Source organism: Homo sapiens, chromosome 5 (genome assembly GCF_000001405.40).
Source record: "Homo sapiens chromosome 5, GRCh38.p14 Primary Assembly".
Lineage (NCBI taxonomy): Eukaryota > Metazoa > Chordata > Mammalia > Primates > Hominidae > Homo > Homo sapiens.
In genome coordinates this window covers 160,048,382-160,069,123 of record NC_000005.10, presented here as the reverse complement: position 1 = coordinate 160,069,123, position 20,742 = coordinate 160,048,382, and the positions used below count along the sequence as shown (strand labels likewise).

At 43.5% G+C, this 20,742-nt stretch overlaps 2 protein-coding genes across 4 annotated transcripts in view, besides 1 other annotated feature; one reads left to right on the top strand and one right to left on the bottom strand.

The window, feature by feature from the left end:
• PWWP2A (PWWP domain containing 2A) overlaps positions 1-20,742 on the top strand; it is a 75,135-nt gene that overhangs the window by 50,327 nt on the left and 4,066 nt on the right. Inside the window, exons 3-4 of one of the 2 annotated variants that reach the window (XR_007058578.1) lie at positions 5,451-5,582; positions 9,487-10,425. Coding sequence is in view for 1 of the 2 variants with exons in the window: in XM_011534424.4 (XP_011532726.1) it covers positions 5,451-5,467 (17 nt within the window). In the remaining variant the exon portion in view is untranslated. Of the gene's footprint in view, positions 1-5,450; positions 5,583-9,486; positions 10,426-20,742 lie in introns of those variants that run through there. The other variant, XM_011534424.4, reaches the window with a different exon arrangement.
• TTC1 (tetratricopeptide repeat domain 1) overlaps positions 3,581-20,742 on the bottom strand; it is a 56,405-nt gene continuing 39,243 nt past the window's right edge. For both annotated transcript variants that reach the window (NM_003314.3, NM_001282500.2), the window contains exons 6-8: positions 19,462-19,610; positions 17,941-17,995; positions 3,581-4,192 (exon numbers count right to left, since the gene is read on the bottom strand). In NM_003314.3, coding sequence (NP_003305.1) covers positions 4,059-4,192; positions 17,941-17,995; positions 19,462-19,610 — 338 coding nt within the window. In that variant the 3' untranslated portion in view covers positions 3,581-4,058. The remainder of the gene's footprint in view (positions 4,193-17,940; positions 17,996-19,461; positions 19,611-20,742) is intronic.
• Positions 8,011-8,522: an enhancer, noted in NCBI's record as "H3K4me1 hESC enhancer chr5:159487609-159488120 (GRCh37/hg19 assembly coordinates)". NCBI's record gives its function as "activates a minimal SCP1, AML or CMV promoter by ChIP-STARR-seq in primed H9 embryonic stem cells {active_cell/tissue: H9 hESC(primed)}" and the evidence as "EXISTENCE:reporter gene assay evidence [ECO:0000049][PMID:30033119]".

The window sequence follows — 20,742 nt, the reverse complement described above, 5'->3', positions numbered from 1 at the left end:
ACGGGGTTTCACCATATTGCTCAGGCTGGTCTCGAACTCCTGAGCTAAAGCAGTCTGCCAGCCCCAGCCTCAGCCTCCCAAAGTGCTAGGATTACAGGCCCTGAGCCACTGTGCGCCGCTGAGAAAAAATAGCAAGTAAGCCTCCTAAGCTGACATTTGAATTACTTGCTGGGTCTTAAAATTTATGGAGATGACTAGTTTCTATTGATCTTGAGGTAACAGATATTGGTTAGTAGTGAAGGAGACATTTGAAAAAACAGGCATTAAATGGCACAGAATTAGAAGACTTTTGAATACTGATGGTTGTTCACACTAAAACCACGTCTTGTGGATATCCTTTAATACCAGTTCACTAAGTCTCTAATACAGTGGTAGCTGCTGGTGCTATTAACAACATAAATGTGGCCCTTTCCATGAGCTCATGGTCTACTCAGGAGGCAGATGAGAAAGAGTAGATAATATTTTAAAGAATGTTTCTCAGAGTCTCCAGGGCAATTCTAAAAGATCAAAAATTATTATTTTTTTGAGACAGGGTCTCACTGTGTCACCCAAGCTGGAGTGCAGTGGCACGATCTCAGCTTACTGCAACCTCCGCCTGTTGGGTCCAAACGATTCTCCTGCCTCAGCCTCCTGGGTAGCTGGGATTACAGGCGCCCGCCACCACGCCCGGCTAATTTTGTATTTTTAGTAGAGACGAGGTTTCACCACATTGGCCAGGCTGGTCTCAAACTCCTGACCTCAGGTGATCTGCCTGCCTCAGCCTCCTAGAGTGCTGGGATTACTTGAGCCACCGCACCCAGCCTCCAAAAATTATTTTGACCCATTGCAATATTGTCGGAATAAGAATATGTACAACGTCACAGTATGATTACCTTAAAAGTAAATTCTGGTATGCTTTTTTGGTGGTGGGTTAGGGGGAGCATCACAGAACTTTTTATTTTTTGAGATGGAGGCTTGCTCTGTCACCTAGGCTGGACTGCAGTGGCATGATCTTGGCTCACTGCAATCTCTGCCTTCTGGGTTCAAGCGATTCTCCTGCCTTAGCCTCCCAAGTAGCTGGGATTACAGGCATGTGCCATTGTGCCTGGCTAATCTGTGTATTTTTAGTAGAGATGGGGTTTCACCATGTTGGTCAGGTTGGTCTTGAACTCCTGACTTCAGGTGATCCGCCCACCTCGGCCTCCCGAAGTTCTGAGATTACAGGTGTGAGCCACGGTGCCTGGCCAGAGCTTTAAAATCACACATTCTAGCAGCAATAGGCAAATACAGGCCACCTTCCTTCCTTAACACTTACTTTCTACTTTTGAAGTCTGAAGATTTTCTATGGTCAAACATTTTCAAAAGGTTTGAATATATCTTTTCTTACAAATGTTGGAAGCAGCAAAGTAACAGTGCCAGATAAAAACTCCTTGGCTTAAGCAAGCTCACACCTACTGGGATCCTTTCCTTTCCAGACAATGCACTGCTTGGCCCACCCACTGGGAGCATGTAATATTGGCCTTGTGTAGCATCCTATAAGATTTCAGTGTGATTGAGAGGAAGAGGAGGAGGAAGCCTAAGAAACAAAACCTCTACACTCGTGGCAATGGTAGTCTCGGGCATCTTCTCTTAACCAAAGCTGTTTCTAGACGAACAAGTCTATTTCCTATTCCTTGGAGGCACAGATAGTCCTTCTGGAATCTCAGCCCTGATTTTGCTAAGTCTCAGCCATTGAGCTCAAGGCACGATGTGACAGTAGTTCTCAAAATGTAGTCCAAGGATCCATAGGTGTTCTGGAGACCATTTCAAGGTGTCTATCTGTATTTTGTATTATGAAAGCTATTTTCATAAGACAAAATTTTGTCTTATGAAAACTGTTTTCATAATACAAAATTAAAGAGTCTATTTTTTTCACTGTTATCTTGTCAGTGACTGCACTGTGATCTCAGGACAAACTGAATATAAGAGATGTGAGACTCTTGCTGTTCTCTATCAAGCCATGCATTAAAGAGATGTGCAAAAATGTCATTCTTCTCACTAAAATGTGTCTTTGAGTTGGAAGATTTTTCCATAAAAATTGTAAAAATTTCAGTAAAACTTTTTTTTAGAGACAAGGTCTCGCTGTCACCCAGGATGAAGAGCAGCAGTGGGATCATAGCTCACTGCAGCCTTGAACCCCTGGGCTCAAGCAATCAATCCTCCTGCCTCAGCCTCCCAAGTAGCATGAAGCCGCTACGCCTAGCTAATTTTTTTTTTTAAACTTTTTTTTGTAGAGATGGAACCTTGCTATGTTGCTCAGGCTGGTCTGGATCTCTGGCCTCAAGCAATACTCCTGCGTTGGCCTCCCAAAGTACTGTGATTACAGGTATAAACCATCCATCGTTCCTGGCCTGACATAAAAGTATTTATAGTAACAGGAAACATGTTATTTTTCAAAGGGATTACTTTAACACTTTCTATCTTAATTTTTAATATACTAAATATTGATAGAATGCACATAAATGGAAATGCTCTTAAAATTTTTTTTTCCAGACTATGAAGGGCTGCTGAAATAAAAGTTTGGGCACGGTGGCTCACGCCTGTAATCCAAAGCCAAGGTGGGTGGATCATCTTGAGGCCGGGAGTTCAAGACCAGCCTGGCTAACATGGTGAAACTCTGTCTCTACTAAAAATACAAAAAATTAGCCAGGTGTGGTGGTGCATGCCTGTAATCCCAGCTACTCTGGAGGCTGAGGCAGGAGAATTGCTTGAGCCTGGGAGGCAGAGGTTGTAGTGAGCCAAGATTGCGCCACTGCACTCCAGCCTGGGTGACAGAGCGAGACCCCCCTCAAAAAAAAAAAAAAAAAAATGAGAACCACTTTCTAGCATAATGCTGGCTGCACAGGAAGCACCGAACACTGACTACCAGACCATCCAGCATTCCACACGGTTTCCATACAACTTGTGTGATTTTTCACACACACATTTTCAGGAAAATTGGATGCCAGATTTAACAGTTTCTTCTGAGGTTCACTTTGACCAAAAGAAGAAAAAAGATAAAAAGCTTTTAGGAACAGATGAGAAGAACCACATAGTCCTTAACACTGGGAGTATGACTGACTACTGCATGTCACTTACAGAATTATATGTGTAATTTACATCCAAGATGAAACTTGCATGTCAAGCTTTTGAGACTCAAACCAGAGCAACTGCAAGCTTCTCACTAGCATCAACTGATGAGCACAAAAAAATTCTATCTTTGACACCTCTAGGTTCATGTAGTTTAAAAGAATATGGTTTTGTTCTGGGGTTCATATACTACCATTCCTCAATGAAGCTATTTTAAGTTAAAAATATTAACATTTGGTCAAACACAGATTTATAATTATCTATACAAACCTGGAGGGGCCCAAGATAGCTTGTAAGGTGGACTTTCTGAATTCTAGTACATGGTAGAATGGTCAACTCTTCAAGATAAATCTTCAAGGCAACAAAAACTTTGGGCAGATCTGTGGAATCTGGAATCAGTAACCCTGCTTGAAACCAACACTGCTCCCAAAGCCAGAGAAGGCTTCTGCCTTAGTTGTCGTTACGTGACAAAATTCACAACCTAACCCAGACCTAAGCACAGAAAGCTTTTATTACCACAGAGGAAATCAGGAAATGCTGGAGGCAGCCTCGTTAGCTGTGTGATCAGGGAGGGGACAGCAGGCGGGAACCCGTCATCAATCATGTCTGGGCAGTCTCCCAACCAACAGGTTTGTTTGGTTCAGGAGAGGCTTTTGCTGGGCTGTGTGTGTGTATGATCAGGAAGGTCAGCCTCAACAAATGGGCTTCTTCCTGGACATAGGACAGCCAGAATCGGGGACACCAGCTGCACAGACACCACCTTAAAATGGAAATCAAATTAGGTTCATTACATCAGGAAGTACATTTCACCCTGATCATAAAAGAGGGACAAGGGAGCACTGGGCTCTACTGGATAGCCTTTCTTTTAGATAAGATGCTTTTAAAAGTTAAACATTGGCAGGGCCTTTCCCCTAGCTAACAGCAAGCAGCACACAATTCCAAGTCAGCTTGTAAAGCTTTTGTTATCTTTGTTATCTGTTATTATTTGGATTTTGAACGAAATTGATGGAGTACGAGCCGGTAGAGGAATCCTGTTTGATCTGGAAATTTTCCGTGGAGAGCCCAAAAGGTCGGAGAACCAAGTTCCCAAGATCTTTTAATTTACCTGTAATGTAAAAGCAAAAACTCAAATGAATACAGGAATGAACAGAAGCAGGAAGGTACCAATTAATCTTGCCTTACCACTGAGTACAAAATATAAAAGTATCTCTTTGCAGTTAAAGAAATGCCTACTTTTAATATGATGAAAGCTTCCAGGAGAGTTCCCAGCCCCTATTCCCCACTCAGCAGTGCAGTCACTTTAATGCCATCCACCCTCAGCCTGTGCTTGCATAGATGAGAGTGGAGTCCTGCTGGCTCTCTCTGGGAATCAAAGCCTCCTGTCCTAACTGGCCAGTGCTATCAGAGGACACAGGCTTCTGGGGTGAGTTCTGGGAAAACCAACTGCTGTTCCAGTGAGGCTCAAGGCACCCTGCCAAGCCAGGTCTGCCTGGTAGTGAGGGCAGAGGTCCCTCCAAGTCTCTTCTCTCTAGAACGGCAGCAGCCACCTGCTAAATGTAATTCAACTCAGCCCATTTCCACTGAGCTTGGATTCATATTCAAGAGCTTCCTGCTTTCCTAAACAAATCCTTAGCTTCTATACCAGACTAGCCATTTCTTAGAAATGGGATCATCTTGATTTGCACAGCAACCTCAATAAGACCTCAATAGTCCAGCCTCCTCTTCCCAAGTTTCAGGCTTTATTTACACGACTTGGGTGAGGTATATAGGATGGGCGTGGTGGCTCACGCCTGTAATCCCAGCACTTTGGGAGGCCGAGATGGGTGGATCACCTGAGGTCAGGAGTTCGAGACCAGCCTGGCCAACATGATGAAACCCTATCTCTACAAAAAATACAAAAATCAGCTGAGGGTGGTGGCATACGCCTACAGTCCCAGCTACTAGGGAGGCTGAGGCAGGACAATCGTTTGCACCTGGGAGGCAGAGGTTGCAGTGAGCTGAGATTGCGCCACTGCACTCCAGCCTGGGTGACAGAGTGAGACTCCGTCTCAAAAAAAAAAAAAAAAAAAAGTCATGGTCTATAGCCAGCGGTTCTTGCCAAGCATGGTGACTCATGCCTGTATTCCCAGCACTTTGGGAAGCTGAGGCAAGAGGAGGGTTTGAGCCCAGGAGTTCAAGACCAGCCCGAGCAACGCAGTGAGACTCTATCTCTACAAATTTTTTTTTTAAAAACAAAAAACAGTTCTTATGCTGTTTTAAGATATAAGGAACATCTGAAACTAGGAATGTTCCAGAAAATTTTGGCAGGGATGGGTGAATAAACAGTTTCAACCCTTTCTAAACTGCTTTAATTTTTCTTACAGGTCTACTTCCAGTGGAGGTGAGAATGGGGGTGGACGAAAAGAGAAATCCCTAATCACCAGAGGTACAGGCTCCTTCCCACTTCTTAGCAGCTTTTCTCACTCTGAGGCCTCCCATCTTAGAGTAAAGCCCAGGTAAAGAACTTAAAGGTGCATGGCCTTGGCTGGGTGCAGTGGCTCACACCTGTAATCCCAGCACTTTGGGAGGCTGAGGCAGGAGGATCATGTGAGCCTAGGAGTTTGAGACCAGCCTGGGCAACATAGGGAGACCCTGTATCTACAAAAATTTAAAAATTAGCTAGGTGTGGTGGCACACACCTGTTGTCACAGCTATGCAGAGGCTGAGTTAGGAGGATTGCTTGAGCCCAAGGAGTTCAGGGCTGCAGTGAGCCATGATCATACCATTGCACTCCAGCCTGGGTAACAGAGCAAAAAAAACGCATGGCCTTTACATTTTACAGGCCTCCCTAATAACTCATGGTGAGAACTTTTAGTCTCAGGCTTAAGAACTAGCCCAAGGAAGCTCACTATGTCCAGAGAAAGGCCAACCCATCTTTGGATAAAACAGTAAATTGAGAAAGCTCCCAGAACCTGGGATGGCTGTTCTCCAGGCAGGCCTCCCAAACCTAAACCTGGGACACACACGTTCTGTGCTGCTGCTTGTGTCAGGAAATCACTGGCATAAACCCTGGGTGCCTGCACAAGGCAGCGGCACAGCCTCGGGCACATGGGCGTAGAGGGAGGGGCTCACAACAAGCAAGAGAAAGACAGGGCAGCCTCAGGGTGACCTGAGTTAGCAACACCAACCAGGAACGCTGGCAGTTTGTTCTGGGGTTGGAAAAAGAGGACAGGAAGGGGGAAAAAAAAAACCATCAAAAGCAGCCCAAGAAAATGTTGGTACTGGGAAATCCTTGGCTCTTGTGATATGGAGTGAGTGAAGTGAGAATGAGTATCAAGAGCCACTCACATCAGACTCCTGAGGAGGGGCAGCTCCATGGTGGAGAAGCCTACTCTGGATGGTCCACTGAGCCCAGGGCCATTACATGGATGGAGGGATCACTGCAAGCCCATCTCCAGTGCCAGAAAAACAATTTAAAGTACAAACTGGAAATTTTACTTGGCATCTATCATGTAAGCCACTGGGATGTAAAGAATAAAAGTAGCTTCTATGCACAATGCTCAGTCTAGTGGGGAGGCAGACCCAAAAGACGGAGGTGTGCCCAGAGGTGCTTTCTGACCTTGCAGTGGCACGAAGAGGCTACATGCCACAGTGCTCCGGGGGATGGGAATAGGTCCAGGGTGGTGGCATGTCACCGTGCTCCAGAGATGGCAGCTTCCTCAGGCAGCAATGGCTTGGCTTTAGGCTGGTCTGCACTAAAGGAGGTTTCCCTCTAGTGCAGAAAGACCATTCCAAGCTAAGACTGCAAATATTCAAACTGCCGACGAGAGGAAGAATTCTCTTTCCCAGGCCCTCGTTTTGCCTAACTGGCTAAAGGGCCTGTGTGCCACAAGCCACCTTTGAACTTTTAGCTTGGTTGATTCTATGGTGTGGCAGTCATGAAGATGTATTTCTCCAAATGCAGGGGACAGAGTGGCTGCACTCTAAAATCCATCAGCACATTCATGCAGAGGCCACCCTTCCCACCTGCTGCTTCCAGCCAATGCCTGAGCATGGGAGGGACTCGTCTGAGGGGCAGCACTGGCTCCCCAATGGCTTTGCTGAAACTTTCTCAGCACCACACTCCAGTGGAAAACTTCCCCGCTCCCCCGGCCTTTCCTCCTCCACAGGGGTCTGCCAACTCTGCCAACAGCCTCCAGCTCCCAGCCCCATTTTCCCTTGCAGGTGTTTCCCCCAGTAAATCTCTTGTACTTTTAATCCTATCTTGGCATCTGTTTTTTGGATGACCCAAACTAACACATAGATAATTATTCTTTTTCCTTCAATTCCAGTATCTCTGCCTTTATAACATTTCACATTAGTTTCACCGACCATCACTTAAGGGGGAAAAAAAAAAAGAAAATGCGAAATTCTGCTTTCTAAATGAGATTACATATATATAATACCTGGCAGGTAGTAGACACATAATAAAAGGCACACAAATAAATAGTCTCTGCGTTAGAGAAGACCTAAGGTCACCTGACATAGATTAATTCAACCAACATGTACTAATTACATGTGTGTGGCACCTTGCTATGTGTGGTAGAGATGCAAAGATACATGACATGGTCTATACACCAAAACAAGCTTAGAATTTGACAAGGAAGAAAAGACATACACACAAAACCAAATTCATATGTAGCTGAGTTATAAAATGCTACGAGAGTCAGGAAGGGGAAGATTCCTTTGGCTGGGGCAGGAAGACAGGAAAGGGGTGGAGGAAAGAAGAGATTTGGTCTATCTTTGTCTAAGAGTTTACACTTGAACCAGGCACCAAAGGCCATAGGACTGCAACCATATGAGACAGAGGTGCTGTCCGTGCAAGCCCAAACAGCGTGAGCCAATGCACAGAGATAGGCAGGCGAGCTGTGTGTCCAATGGGGCTGAAGCGGGGCAGGCAGGTGCCTCCTGCCAGGCTGTCCTGAGCCAGGCCCGTCAGCCTACGGTTCCCGTGCCACAGGAGGCCACTGACAGCTTGAGAACTGAGTTTTCAGGGTTAGTAATCCTGTGGCAAAATGAAGAATGAACCAGAAGGGGAGACCCTGGGGGTGGTTCTGACAGAAAGTTAGTCCCACATTGTGGGAAAGAGCCCATTTATTCACTGAACAAACATTAAAATTTCTACAATGCTTGGGTAGATGGGCTCTGAAGCCAGAGTGTGGTCAGTGGAACACAAAGAACAGGGCAAAACAGTATGGTAGAATCAACAAGTTTTTGGTGACTGAAAAATTTACCTTTTGCTGTTTGTGCCGATGACAGAGAAGCAACAGCCTTCAGGAGAGCTCAGTCTCCTAAATATATGCACATGCATACGTTTTTCTGCCTGCTGTTTAGAGTCAGGTTGGGTGCTCAGAGGCTAAAGCAGCTTCCTTGTATCCAAATAGGATCATGTGCCAAACTAGCCTATCTGCCACACTTTCCACTGGCTGTCAAATTCTGTCTTCCCTATCTGGACAGTAATCAATGAGGTTTCCTTGTTTCCACCTACAGCACAGGTGGCACCATCACTCAGCCTGAATATGTCCACATGTCCTGAACTATTAGGATCTCGTCTATCAGACTAGATCCCATGGCAAAGAGAAGAGTACAGAACTACTCGTGCTTAGACCAGAATGTTTAGAGACAGGGATCCGAGTGCTTGCCACTGGGTTCAGTTGATAAATATTAATTTCTCTGCCAAGTAGCATATCACCATAACCCAATTGATTTGTTATACATAATTTCTCTTTGGAGATACTGACTGTGCATCAGGCAGTTTACCCTGAGCATAACCAGGAATGCTGTGTTTTCATCTCCTTAAGATCACTCGGGCATGGATTCGATGGAATGGCTCCTTTGGGACTTTCTCCTCTGTTCAGATGAAACAAATTGCATACAACTAAATCCTAATACCACATTTCCTCCTGTGAGGCAGGAAACTAAGGCATGCAGCTAACTCTAGCTTTTCTCCGAGCAAAAGGCAAATCAAGAGAGCCCAGCATAGAAAGGATAAAATTCATGCCCAGTTGAAATTCTTATACAGGCAGACTTTATTTTGTTGTGCTGTGCTTTTTGTGCTTTACAGATATTGTGTTTTTTACAAATTGAAGATGTGTGGTAATCCTGCATTGAGCAAGTTTGTCAGCACAATTTTTCCAATAGCACGTGCTCATTTCATGTCTCTTTCATATTTTGGTAATTCTCATAATATTTCAAACCTTTTCACTATTCTTATACCTGTTATGGTGATCTGTAATCAATGATCTGTGAGGTTACTATTTAATTATTTTGGGGTGCCATGAACTGCACCCGCATAAGACAGCTAACTGAAATGGTAAGTGCGGTGCATGTTCTGACTGCTCCTCTGACCAGCCATTCCCTTGTATCTCTCCCTCTCCTCAGGCTTCCCTCTTCCCTAAGCCACAACAATATTGAAATTAGGTCAATTAATAATCCTGTAATGACCTTTAAGTGTTCAAGTAAAGGGAAGAGCCAGACTTTAACAAAATTAAAAGTGCTACTTCAATGAACACATGAATAAGAAAGCAAAACAGCCTTATTGCTTATATGGAGAAAGTTCTAGGTGTCTGGATAGAAGATCAAACCAGCCACAACATTCCCTTAAGCCAAAGCCTTGGATTACCACAGCAAGGCCCTAACTTTCTTCAATCCTACCAAGGTTGAGTGAGGAAACTGCTTTAAGGAAAGAAGCCATCTCCATAACATAAACGTGCAAAGTGAAGCAGCAAAGGCTGACATAGAAGCTGCAAAAAGTTATTCAGAAGATCTAGCTAAGATCACTGATGAAGGTGGCTACACTAAGCATGTTTTTAGTGTAGATGAAAACAGCACTATATTGAAAGAAGATGCCGTATAGGACTTTCAAAGCAACAGGAAAGAATAATTCAATGCCTGGCTTCAAAGGATAGGCTGACTCTCTTGTTAGGCGATAATACAGCTGGTGACTTTAAGTTGAGGCCAGTGCTCATTTACCATTCCAAAAATCTTAGGGCCCTTAAGAATGATGCTAAATCTACTCTGCCTGTGCTCTAGAAATGGAACAACATAGCCTGGATGACAGCACATCTATTTATAGAATAATTTACTGAGCATTTTAAGCCTATTGTTGAGACCTACTGTTCAGAAAAGAAGATTCCTTTCAAAAAATTGCTGCTCACTGACAATGTGCCTGGTCACTGAGGAGCTCTGAGATGAACAAGGAGATTAAAGTTGTTTTCAAACCTCCTAACACAACATCCATTTTACAGCCCACAGATCAAGGAGTAATTTTGACTTTATAGTCTTATTATTTAAGAAATACACTTCATTGGCCAGGCGCGGTGGCTCACGCCTGTAATCCCAGCACTTTGGGAGGCTGAGGTGGGTGGATCACGAGGTCAGGAGATCAAGACCATCCTGGCTACCACGGTGAAACCCTGTCTCTACTAAAAAATACAAAAAATTAGCCGGGCTTGGTGGTGGGCACCTGTAGTCCCAGCTACTCAGGAGGCTGAGGCAGGAGAATGGCGTGAACCCAGGAGGCGGAGCTTGCACTGAGCCGAGATCGCACCACTGCACTCCAGCCTGGGCGACACAGCGAGACTCCGTCTCAAAAAAAAAAAAAAAAAAAGAAATACACTTCATATGGCTATGGCTGCTGAGATGGTCAAAATACCAACATTAACAGGAGTTTAAAAGAAGTTGATTTCAACCCTCATGGATGACTTTGAGGGGGTGAAGACTTCAGTGGAGGAAGTTGCTGCAGATGTGGTGACAATAACAAGGTAACTAGAATTCGAGTGGCGCTTGAAGATGTGACTAAATTGCTACAATTTCATGATACAACTCGAATGAGGAGTTGCTTGCTGTGGATGAGCAAAAAAAGTGGTTTCTTGAGATGGAATCTCCTCCTGGTGAAGATGTTGTGAACATTGTTGAAGTGACAACAAAGGATTTAGAATATTACATAAACTGGCCGGGCACAGTGGCTCACGCCTATAATCCCAGCACTTTGGGAGGCTGAGGCAGGCCAATCACCTGAGTTCAGGAGTTCGAGACCAGCCTGGCCAACATGGTGAAAACCCATCTCTACAAAAATAGAAAAATTAGCTGGGTGTGGTGGCATACACCTGTAATCCCAGCTACTTGGGAGGCTGAGGCAGAAGAATTGTTTGAACCCAGGAGGCGGGGTTGCAGTGAGCCAAGATTGTGCCACTGCACTCCAGCCTGGCGACAGAATGAGGCTCTGTGTCACACACACACACACACGCACAAACCCCCAAATATTACATAACCTTAGCTGATAAAGCAGCAGCAGGGTTTGAGAGGACTGAGTCCAATACTGGAAGAACTATTGTGGGTAAAATGCTATCAAACAGCACTGCATGCTACTGAGAAATCTTTCATGAAAGGAAAAATCAACTGATGTGGCAAACTTCCTTGCTATCTTATTTAAAGATACTGCCACAGACACCCCAATGTTTAGCAACTACCAACCTGATCAGTCAGCAACCATCCACGTGGAGGCAAGGCCCTCCAGCAGCAAAATGATTACAACTCCCTAAAGGCTGGGCTCATCGTCAGCATTTTTTAATAATGTATTTTAAAATTAAGGTATGTACATTTTTTTTTTTTAGACACAGTGCTGTTGCATACTTAGTAGACTACAGTATTATATAAACATAACTTCTGTATGCACTGGGAAACAAAAAATTCTTGTGACTCGCTTTATTGTGCTGGTCTGGAACTGAACCTGCAACATCTCTGAGGTACGCCTGTATTTGACCTTGGGTAAATTCGAGGGCTGAAAGAAGCCTTACCAAGAACTTTCAAAGAAGTGGGAACTATTCTCCTAAGAGAAGCCTCAGGATAGCAATTAGGAAATGAAGACAAAAGCAAAGCACTGAAAAGCTACTGATATTCTCTACTGAGGGAACAACCAACCACAACAAGGAATTGGTTTCTTGTGCCATGTGGCCAGAGTGCAAAATCCTGCAAGTGTACAGTCTGTAATGACAGATATCAGGCAGAATAGTATGAAGAGAAATGTGGAAAAAAAAAAAGACTGGGTTTCTGTACCTACATGTATGGCTTCAGCAGCTTTAAGAGGGGTGGTAACAAGTCAATCTTTCTTGTAAGCCTCAGTGAGGAAGCTGATTCTAGGACCTTCTACTACTTGCAAAGCAGAAAAGCACACAATGTCCAGGTATAGCCAGAAGAATATGCTGAACTTGGCAATGACATGTTAATTCTATCTCCATATATAGCTCTTTAATATGGCACTCATACAAGATGATATATATATATATTTTGCTTTTGAGACAGGGTTTCACTCTGTTGCCCAGACTGGCATGAAGTGGTGCCATCACAGCTCACTGCAGCTTTGATCTCCTGGGCTCAAGCAATCCTCCCACCTTAGCCTCCCAAGTGGCTGAGACTACAGGCACATGCCACATGCCGGGCTAATTTTTTATTTTTTTGTAGAGACAGGGTCTTGCTATGCTGCCTAGGCTGGTCTTGAACTCTTCAACTGCAGTCTTGACCTCCCAGGCTCAAGTGATCTTCTTACATAGGCCTCCCAATGTGCCAGGATTATAGGCATGACCACCATGCCAAGCTCCAGATGGTATTCTTAATTCAGCTCACAATGTGCCCTCATCAGATTGCTAGTGGCCAGGAGTGAACAACTGAGTGACTTTAAGAATCAGGACACCAGGAATATGTTCCTAGAAAGTGAAGGTATGAGTGGAAAACCTGGGTTGGATTATGAACAAGGCCCACATGTGTGCCAGAGTGGCCAGGGCAGGGAGCAGCAGCAGGTGCTGGTGAAAGGAAGGTGGATTACTGGGGCAATGCCCTGTCTTTGTGTTATGGTTTCTTTGAGGGAAGTAGATAAGTTTCAAGTAACTGCTCTAGGTCAAGGTAGGGATAGGCACCTGGCAGCTCTTGGTTAAGTTAGGAAGAGCATGGAATGGTCAGAATACAAGCCATACTTGTGTTCTGGGACCTAGTCCCTACCCAGCACCTGGGGCAAGGGAAGCTTGTTATCCCCTGCACACCCAGTAAGTAGTAATGTAACTGACTCTATTCCTCCAGTGGCAACTTGTCCAAATAGAGAGCTGAGATCTGAACTCTAGTGAATTGGAAGACCACACATTCTGAAATATTTGCTTTCTAGTTTTTCTCTGCTGCAGCTACAACACAAAGAAGAAAAGATAAAACTCAGTGCCATGGCTGCTTTTGCTCAGGAGGTGTCTCTCAGAGCAGAGCTGAACGCCCCTCTTAGCCATGCCCTCCTCTGGCCTCTAACCCCTCACCTGAGCTGCCTCTATACTCCGTCTCTCAACTCATCAGGGTCATTAAAGTTGAGTGTGCATCAGAAACACTTGAGAGGTTAAAACTTAGATTGCTGAGCTCCATCTTAAATCTCTGATTCAGTAGGTCTGGGGTAGGGCCTGATATCATGCCTTTTGGCATGGTTTTGGCAGGTTCTCAGGTGCTGATGTTCTGGGCACCATATCTGAGATGCAGCTCCAAAAGGTTAACTTGCTTTGCAACTGGTGATTAGAATCTTGATGAGAGAGCTTATATTAAAAAATGAATTGTAAACACCCATCTCTAGTGATTAGAGGGCTAAAGCTGCCTGGGTAGGGCTTCCCCGTTAGACAATGTGAAAAGTAGCCCATGCAGCCTAGGTTACTTTTTGGAGAAAGTAGATGACTCTATCTGCTACCTTATAGTTCAATAAGCTGAGATGACAGATCAAGGAAGAACCAAAAATATATACATACAGATTTTATTGACAATTTCACTTGCTTGAAAGACTTCTTGGCTGGGCCAGCATACGGGATAAAATAACTTGCAAATGATGACAGATGTCTTTACCCTATATTCTTTTCTATCTGGAATCAAAGCTTGTTTGGAGACCTGTATCATCATCCCAGTACAAACCTCTTGCCCTCCCAGCATGGCTGCCATAAATAATGACTCATGTGCAAAGAACCAACCCCCAGGAAGGCACTCCTCCCATAAGGTGACACAGCCACACTTCTCAAGGGACTCCTGAGGGCAGAGCAGTAACCCTGGGAGTTTGTCCTAAGTATCTTACAGTTGAGCAGAGGAGCTTCAGGGTAGCTGAAAGTGTCTCGTCAGTTTTACTTTTAAATGTTTTTTTTCCTATTTACCTATGTGAGCAAAAATTTACTACTGTAAAATTGAAACAATGAAATATACCCATAAAGGCTTAGATATACTCATAAAGGCCGTGTCTGCCATATGAAACCTGACTTCAAATCTTTATGTTCCTCAAACTAACCTGATTATTCTGATTATAAATGCTATACCGTACATTTGAATTTATATAAAACGCTACTTTTTTTTTTTCTATATTGTGGTTTCACATGAGATTTTTCTTTTCTTTTTTCTTTCTTTTTTTGTTTTTGAGACAGGGTCTTGGCTCTGTTGCCCAGGCTGGTACCATCGTAACACTGCAAACTTGACCTCCTGGACTAAGGCAATCCACCTCAGCCTCCCAAGTAGCTGGGACCACAGTCTTGTGCTACCACGCCTGGCTAATTTTTAAAGATTTTGCAGAGATGGGGGTCTTGCCATGTTGCCCAGGCTGGTCTCGAACTGCTGGGCTCAAGCAATCCTCCCACCTTGGCCTCCCAAAATGTTAGGATTACAGGCATGAGCTACTGTACCCAGCCAACTTTTTTCCCAGCTATTTAAGAAAACTGTGAAATCATTCCATTAGAGAGAAAGCAAATAAAGCATCAATGACTAGCTCCTCAAAAATGCTCTGAGCCTCCTGGGATGCTATGTCCAGGGTCTCTATTTCCATCTCATCACACTATCAACCACACATACCCTTAAGTCCTTTTAAACCTTACATTCCTTGGTTATTATGGCTGGGAGGCTAATTATCCCAGAGAAAAGGACCAAACAAACAAACAAACAAACAAAAACAACCAACCCCCACTCCAGCTGCTGACCACTTTCCTCAAGTGATCGTCTTGATGCTATCACGATCATCTTCTGTGATCAGCAAGGACTGTGCCACTAGGACTAATGGCCACCCTGGGTCTCTTGTTCTAAAGATTATAAATGATGGGCTAGAAAGGGCAAAGCAAATAATTGTTCTACCCACTAATAATTCCTATCAGGATTTTTTCCCTCAAGGAGTACATAGCTCTTCTTTCTAATGAAAAGGAAATTACAGAGATGGAAGAAAAAACAAGTTAAAGAATACTGAACACATCTAAATAAAAACCCATTTTGTACTACTCAAGGTGATCCACAGATTCAATGTAATCCCTGTCAAAACACCAATGACATTCTTCACAGAAATAGAAAAATCCTAAAATTTGTATGGAACCACAAAAGACTCTGAAAGCTAAAGTGATCCTGAATAAAAAGAACAAAAGCTACAGGCATAGGCATCACACTACCTGATTTTATAATTTTCTTTTTTTTTAAAGACAAGGTCTCACTCTGTCACCCAGGCTTGAGTGCAGTGGCATCATTGTGGCTCACTGAAGTCTCGATCTCCTGGGCTCAAGTGATCCTCCCACAGCAGCCTCCTAAGTAGCTGGGACTACAGGTGCACACCAGCACACCTGGCTAATTTTTTTAGTGACAGGATTTTGCCATGTTGCCCAGGCTGGTCTTGAACTCGGGCTCAGCCTCCCAAATTGCTGGGATTACAGGTGTGAGCCACCACACCCAGCCCACACTACCCAATTTAAAAAATTTTTAACTGCTTATTCTCCATAGAAGCCATCATTTTAACAGGAACTAGCATAAAGATGATGCAGTCCACTGTGAAAAGCTTGCTCAGAACTTCTAAGTGATATTAATTTGCATTCAGAATGTCTAGCCTCTAGGGAATCTCACAGAACATGAACCAAAGTTACCTCATCAGCAACAAGGAGGAAGGAATACCAGAAAAGCTCTTGTGGGGGCTGAAATTCCATGTAAAGAGTGATTTCTCTCTTCTAGGTTATCTATTGTGGGGTAACACCTAGAGCAGTATCTTATTCATGATTTTTATACTCATTAAGGGAAAAAAGGAATCTAGCCATTCAAACTACACATGTGTAACAACACATATTATTTACAAAGCAACTTAAGTTGGTTAAGTCTAATGGCAGGTGAATTCATTTTAGAAGCAACCGAGGGAATGAATTCAATTTGAATTTTTTCAAATGAAGAGAATGACATAAGAAAAACCCAAAGCCTTGGAGACAGAAAATTCTGGTGCATTAGAATTTATAAAGACAAGGACAAATGGAAGTTTTAATTCCATCTGGAACTAACAATAGGCAGTAAGATTCAGTTTGCACCAGTCCCTTTACTGGACTGGCTTTAAAAAAATGGACTAAGAGACCAATGCCTTCCAGATCCACTATGGCCATTCACAAGGTCATCTTTTTTAGCAAGAAATTCAAATACTAAATGCAAACAGTTTTTTTTTTTTTTTTTTTTTTTTTTGCTAAAATAGAGCATCATTGTTAGTAAAAATAGGTGAGAAAATGCTCTTTTCCCTCTTCTTTGAGACAGGGTCATGCTCTGTTGCCCAGTCTGGAGTGTGGTGGCACCATCATAGCTCACTGCAGCCTCTAACCCTTGGGCTCAAGTGATCCTCCCATGTAGCTGGGACTATGGGCAGGCACATGCCACCATGCCTGACTAATTTTTTGTGGAGATGGGGTTTCACCATGTTGCCTAGGCTGGCCTTGAACTCCTGGGCTCAAGCAATCCTCCTACCTTGGCCTCCTAAAGTGCTGGGATTACAGGAGCCACCGTGCCTGGCCAAGTTTAATTAAATATGTAAATTAGGGGAAAAGCTCCCCCATCCCCCTCCCTTTTTTGGAAAATCTGGGGAAGGCTCCAGAGCTATCCTGAATCGGAAGCAGCCGTCTTTACAGTCTGAGTCTACCCGGCAGGGGCCAAAGTCTCTGGATAGTCTAGGTTAATGGCCTCCTCTCAATCAACTTGGCTATCAGAATGATCCTTTGGGAAATTTGTTCCCATTGTCTGGATGCTGATGTCTGAAGGCCATAAATGCCAGACAGGCTCAATTTATTTTAAATGATTTTTCCTTTAGGGCCACATGATTGCAGTTTATAAAATGTAATTCAAACAACAGATTTAGAAAATACTCAAAAAGGAAAATACATGGCAGATCTTCACCAGCGAAATATCAGACAGGTTACATGTGGAAAAGACTTAAGTCTGTGTTCAGGAACCCTCACTCCTCTTACTTAAGCAGATTGCTCGTGGGAGGTTCCAACTCTAAAATGCTTTGGCAAATATGAGAAATAACTAAACATGGATCAAATGAATCCATTTGCCCTACCCCTACCCCCAGTCTGATTTCTCTTTACTCCTAATTCCTGCCCTCTCGTGTGTTCTCAAACACTAAAGGGACTTTGAGTGCCATTTTCTAAATAAAAATTCTCATGATCTTGACTGCATCCTAATGAACCTCAAGGAATGATTATTCAATGAAGAAACTAAACTGTTTTTATGTAATTGTTATCTGAAATCGAGGTTGGTGGTATCCTAGGATTTTAAATCCCATTTAAGCATAATCCCAGGGAACTGAATTATGCTTAAATTCTTGCAGGCAAGAAAAATTTCCAAGAAAATCAAAAAGGAAATCTGGTTTCCAAAAAAAGCCAATACCCTCTCTAAGCCACGCTGCCCCTTCTGGGGTCAAAATAACTCAGAAGTCAGTAGCCTTGTGGTAGAGTCCGAAACTTTCTAACTCATGTGTTCTCCTCTAGTATTCGCTATGTCCCCACCCTAGGTTCCTAGCTGTTTATGATCAAGCAAAGTAAGAAGTAAGCTTACCTAACATCTCTTCTTTTAGTCTTTCATTACGTTCTTCAATTTGCTTAGGTAATCTCTGAGGAAAAGAGGAGAAACAAGGGTTGGTAAAAAAAAAAAAAAAACCAAAACCTTTCCCTTTATTTTGAATTTGAGAAACACAAGAATCCTAATGTGGAAATAAGATCAAGTTAAGTATGTCTATGATCCTATTAAATAAAAAAAAAAAACCCCAAGTATTTATGTTTGTGGTGCGCTACATAAAGACAAAAGTTCTGTTTGGGCCAGGTGCAGTGACTCCTGCCCATATTCCCAGCACTTTTGGAGGCCGAGTTGGGAGGATCGCTTGAGCTCAGGAGTTTGAGACCACCTTGGGCAACATGGCAAAATGCTGTCTCTACAAGAAATACAAAAATTAGCTGGGTGTGTTGGCATGTGTCTGTAGTCGCAGCTACTCAGGAGGCTGAGGTGGGAGGGTTGCTTGAATCTGGGAGGTTGAGGGTGCAGTATGCCATGACTGTGCCACTGCTCTCCAGCCTGGGAGTCAGAGACCCTTTCTCAAAAAAAAAAAAAAAAAAAAGTTTTGTTTGGCTCTGTTTCCAGTTCTTAATAGAAAGTCTACACTAAAGGAGGGCATCAATACAAATTTAACAAATAAATATATACAGAAAAAAGTTTGAAAGGATACATATCAGATGTTTACAGTGCTATATTTGTATTTTTAACTTTTTTTTAAATTCATTTGTATTTTTTGTTTTTTTAAGACAGAGTCTCACACTGTCGCCCAGACTGGAGTGCAGTGGCGCAATCTCAGCTCACTGCAACCTCCACCTCCTGGGTTCAAGCGATTCTCCTGCCTCAGCCTCTCGAGTAGCTGGGATTACAGGCATGTGCCACCACACCCAGCTAATTTTGTATTTTTAGTAGAGACAGGGTTTCTCCATGTTGGTCAGGCTGGTCTCGAACTCCCGACCTCAGGTGATCCGCCCTCCTCGGCCTCCCAAAGTGCTGGGAGTACAGGCGTGAGCCACTGCACCCAGCCTGTTGGTTTGTTTTTAAGATACAAAGTCTTACTCTGTTGCCCATGATGGAATGCAGTGATGTAGTCACAGCTCACTGCAGCCTCCAACTCCTGGGCTCAATGATCCTCTCTGTTGCCCAGGCTGCAGTGTAGTGGCATGATCTCAGCTCACTGCAACCTCTGCCTTCTGGGTTCAAGCAATTCTCCTGCCTCCCGAGTAGCTAGGATTACAGATGTGTACGACCACACCCGGCTAATTTTTTGTATTTTTAGAAGAGATGGGGTTTTGTTGTGTTGGCCAGGCTGGTCTCGAGCTCCTGGCCTCAAGTGATCTCTCCTCCTTGGCCTCCTAAAGTGCTGGGATTACAGGCAAGAGCCACTGCGCCTGGCCTCCCATATATCTTGATAAGCTCCTCAAAAGCACAGAAATGGAATTTAATTGTGTCTGAAAGGATTATTTAGGACTCACTGGGTAGCAACACAAAGAATAGAAGGAAAAATATTTTTAAAATTTTAGGTTTTACCATACAAGCTTCTCTTGCTTGATGTATTGATGGATCTTTTTCTAATATAGATTTATAGTCTTCCAGGGCTTCATCTAGCTTGTCCGTCTTCTCATACAACTCTGCTCTCCTCAATATTGCCCTGATATAGCTGGGGTTTAATTGAATTGCTGTAAAAAGAGAAGAAATAATTTTTATCACAAAGAAAAATGGCCTACATATCTTTGGCTATATCAGATTCCTTCATCAATCATCCTCCAAGGATACGAAAGGAAGAGTCATTTGCCAAGTGTATACCTGATGCTGGAAAACTTTTTCTATAAAGAGCAAGATAGTAAAGATTGTAGGCTTTGTGGGTCAGACAGACCATCTGTGTCGCAGCTCCTCAATGATACTATTGTAGCACGAGAGCAGGCACAGATAATATGTAAACAAAAAAGGATAGGTGTGTTCCAATAAACTATTTATGGACACTAAAATTTAAGTTCACATAATTTTCACATTATCATGAAATATTTTGCTTTCCAATGATTTAAAACTGTAAAAACCATTCTTAGCTTTTAGGCTATCAAAAACAGGTGGCAGGCTGGATTTGGCTTGTGGCTGTAGTTTGCCATATCCTGGTCTATACTCCAAGTCCTGGTTTTTGCCTACTTGTCATTTACCCAGTCCAGGACAGGCCAGAACAGAGTTCAAGTGCGCAGTGAAAGAGTGAGAGAGAATTTTTTTTTTTTAGACGGAGTCTCGCTCTGTCACCCAGGCTGGAGTGCAGTGGTGTGATCTTGGCTCACTACAACCACCTCCTCCCAGGTTCAAGCGATTCTCCTACCTCAGCCTCCCACGTAGCTGGGATTACAGGCATGCGCCACCATGCCCGGCTAATTTTTGTATTTTTAGTAGAGATGGGGTTTCATTATGTTGGCCAGGCTAGGTGAGAGAGAATTTGAAGATACAAATTAAAGAGTTAAGGGAAACCAATCTGGTGGCAGACTATCATTCTCTTTTTTCTAGGTCTTGAGTACTAAGATTATATTTCTAGTTAAATCCTCACTGTTCCTTCAACCCTCAAACTACTGCTCCAGCACTATGAGGTGGTTGATGCATAATATCTTTTCCTTTATCCAGCATCAGCTGCCCTTCTAATAATCCTTTGCTATGTTTTGGTTCAACATACTGCATTTCTTCTAATTTCTTCCAAGTTGTTTCTTTTTCTATTAGAAAGCAGTGCTGGCCGGGTGTGGTGGCTCAGGCCCATAATCCCAGCACTTTGGGAGGCCGAGGCAGGCAGGTCAATTGGGGTCA